General features: G+C 46.7%; 1 pseudogene; it reads right to left on the bottom strand.

Moving 5' to 3' along the window:
- Window positions 1–1,085: 1,085 nt before the first annotated feature.
- On the bottom strand, window positions 1,086–3,215 carry TOX4P1 (TOX high mobility group box family member 4 pseudogene 1; annotated as a pseudogene).

The raw sequence follows: 3,744 nt of genomic DNA, 5'->3' as shown, positions 1-3,744 counted from the left end.
GTCTGTTGAACTCTGATCTGTGGGTCATTGGGCCATGGATAGAAAACAGTTCTCCCGCCTATTCCCAGAAGTAGCGCACTTCTCCTTATACCAGTGCAGGATCCTGAGGGCAAGAGTTTTCCCTGCTTTTTCCCAGGGCCAGAGGGCCTTTGCTTCTAGTCATCAACTAGAAGCAACAGAATTCTTGCCTTATCTCCAGTAGTTTCAGGCTTTTTCTTTCAGTGACAGAAGGAGCCATGTAGCTGGGTAGAGTTCATATCTCTTCCCCAGGGGCAACTGAAAATTTTCTCTGTGCCTGTACCACTGATGACCTCCTGCATGCCTATTCATCTCTAGATTTTCTCATGAGCCTCTAGTGGAGGGCAGTGAAAACGAGCTAGTAAATTAGGGCAAAATCCTCTTGTGTCTTGGACTGTCAGTTATTTCAAGCGATACTTTAGTCCAAAATTGACTTTTAAGAATCTACTAAACTTTCAGCTGATTTCTTCTAACTGGCTTATATGGTGGCCGTCTCTTTTTTCTATGCTCTGCCAATGGCAAAAGAGTTTGCATGTCCTCTCTCTCATTGAAGGGGCTTGTAATTCTTTGGAATTTAATTTATTTGGTTGCCCCATAACCTGAGCTCTTCAGTGGGTTCATGAAAAGTTTGTGGGTTTTCTGTCTTTTTTCCAATTGCTAGGGTGAGAGCCATTTCTCTTATGATGTTTTACATTCTAAATGAAAGCAGAACTCTAGAAATTTAAACTTGAAATATAGAAAGAATACAATCAAGGAGACTGCATAAATTTTGTTAATGGCAAATCACCAGAGCAAGGATTCACTAGCTCCTGCTGTGAGGTTCCATGTTTGTTTCTGGTCTTGGATTTTCATGTGAAACCACTTTTTTTTTTTTTTTCCCTAGGCTCAAAGCTGAGTACACTCCCGTCATTTTAATAATATTTTAGGCAAGTCCTATGACAATTATACCAACAAGTTTCTTCAACCCCACCACCACTCCTACCATCTCTATACTTTGCTTGCCCATACTCCCTTCACCCTTTCCTCTGCTATTACCACTGGTATTTCTGCTTGTGGTTGTGTAAAAAGCATCTCCAGATTACAGCAAGTTCAGCGGCCCTGCTCCATAGCCTGGCCTCTGCTGAAGGGAGAAAAGGGGGGAAACATGAACGGACATCATGGGCTGTGATCAGGCACTACCAGAAGCCCAGCTTGTGTTTCCAAAACAGGCTCTTAGACATGTTCCCAGCAGATAACTCTTCACTGGCTTGGAGAACAGGAAGGACTATTTCACAAACACCACTGTGTTTGAATTTCTAGAGGCTACCCAGGCCAAGAATACATCCCTGCAGTGCTTCACCACACACTCATTGCTGCAGCATTCATTGTCCCAGTCCTTACTCACAATGGGAGGATTCTCACAACCAGACATCACACATCGAGGCTGGGGTGACAGTGCCACAGGAGACCCACTCACCAATTCAACATCCATCTGAGAAGAAGACTCAACCTCAGGAACTACATCTGTGATCATCTCACAGATGGTCTCAGGAGAAGTTGCCTCCACTGTATGGGCCTCAGGACTATTGTTCATAGGCCGCTCAGGACTACTTTCCACAGTTGGTGGGACTAAGGTAGTCTGCATTTTCAAAGTGAGTGGAGGCACACTCTTGATCTGCAGAGGAGGTAGCTGTTGCTGTAAATTGATTCAAACTTTCTGAGGTGGAGGCTGTTGCATGGCCTGGAGTGGAGGAGGCTGCTGCAGAATGGTAACTTGCTGCTGAGTCAGGGGCTGTGGCATCTGTTATAATGGAGGGGGCTGTAGTCGGGGTGGAGGCAGTTGCATAGAAGCAACAGTAGCAGCTGCTGCTGCTGCCTGCAACACTGACCGAGTGACAATCTGGGCTTGTTGACTGGGCTGGATAGTGGCTGTACTGGTTGGGTCTAGTTGGAGCCCCCAGGAGGTCACCACTGTGGCTAGGATAGCAGTAACCATCCCTCCCTGAGACATAGTAATGGAAGAGGGCAACGTTTGTTTGGTAATAATCAACTTGGTGATATTGGGCTGACCCCCAGCTCCTGAAGATGCCTGGTTTGCCACATAGGATGAAAGGGTGGAGTTAACAACAATGGATGGGGACAGGACAGGGGGCTCTGTTGAAGCTGGTGCTGGAGACGCTGGGTCAACAGTAGCCATAGAAGGTGGAGAAGGAGTTTGTGATGGTGGTGCTGGATCCAATTCCGCTGTTTCCACAGTGGCCTGACACTCCTGGTTGTCTTCGTAAGCAGCCAGTGTCTTCAGATACTCTTTCTTGGCAGCCTCAGTTTTCCTCTTATATATCTGTTTTTGCTCCTCTCCAAGACTATCCCACATGGAGGCCACAATTTTTGAAACCTCACCAAAAGTGGCATTAGGATTCTGTCCCTTGATGGCAGCCCGTGTATCAGGAAAGAATAAAGCATATGCTGAAACTGGTTTCTGAGGTTCATTAGGATCTTTCTTTTTTCTCTTCTTTGGGAACTTCTGCTTTTTCCCTGCTTCCACCACCACTGTCTTCTGGCTGGAAATTTGCCTCCAGAAATCCTCAACACCAACCTCGTGAAGTGAACTAGTAGGTGAAGGGGTGGTTGAAATACGATCTTCAGGTGACTGGGCAGGTGGCAGGATGGTGCCACCCCGTAAGCTCAAACCCAGTTGGAAACTCAGTTCTGACTGATCAGTGGTGGTCAACTGGCTATGCCCCATCAAGTCAGATGTCATGTCTATCATTAGTACATCAATTGTAACAGGTGGGTTGGCACTATACTGAGTTCCTATAGAGTGGTTTAAGTCCATGATCAAGCCTCCACTGAGGAGCCCCCACCTTGCTCCATCAAGCCATGGGTCATGCCCACAGAGCATGTCCAATGTCTGGACCCCATACTGGGCTGAAGCACTGCCATCCTGTGAAGAGGAAGGGTCTGCCAGGTCATCAAAGTGGTCAACCACATCTGAGACAGCCAATGAGGGATCAGAATCCAAAGAGATAGGTGGGATTTCAAATTCTTCATCACCTAAGCTTGGTGTATGGAATGTCTCGGCCCCTGACAGGAAGAGGTGTGACGGCCCTGTGATTGTCAGGTAATTGTCATTTCCTCCGGGAGACTCCATCTTCACACAACTGCTCCTACCATCTCAGACTGTCATCGCTCCCACCGCCCCACTGGACTCGGAACTGTGAGACCACTTCTTGTATCATGTGTATCCTATTTAACTTTCCTTAAACAAGCCTGTGTTCCTTGCATCTAAAAACCTTAAAATGTGTGTGAAACCCAGCATCTCAGAACCAGGAGCGCACCAAACTCACATTATGTGGTAGGCAACACTCTAAAGATGCCCTCCCCCAAGATTCTTATCTGTTGGTTGTTCAAACAGTAATACAGGCACTGCTGTAAAGTCCCAAGTCAGTTAACTTAATTAATTAATAAATTAATAAGTATTAATTAATTAATTAAGACAGAGTCTCTGTTGCCCAGGCTGGAGTGCAGTAGTGCGATCTCAGCTCACTGCAACCTCAGCCTCCTGGGTTCAAGTGATTCTCATGCCTCAGCCTCTCAAGTAGCTGGGATTACAGGCGTGAGCCACCACTCCTGGCTAATTTTTGTATTTCTAGTAGAGACGAGGTTTCACCATGTTGCCAAGGCTGGGCTTGAACTCCTGACCTCAAGGGATCTGCCCGTCTCAGCCTCCCAAAGTACTAGGATTAC

Source organism: Homo sapiens, chromosome 4 (genome assembly GCF_000001405.40).
Source record: "Homo sapiens chromosome 4, GRCh38.p14 Primary Assembly".
Lineage (NCBI taxonomy): Eukaryota > Metazoa > Chordata > Mammalia > Primates > Hominidae > Homo > Homo sapiens.
This window is presented reverse-complemented; position numbering and strand designations above follow the sequence as displayed.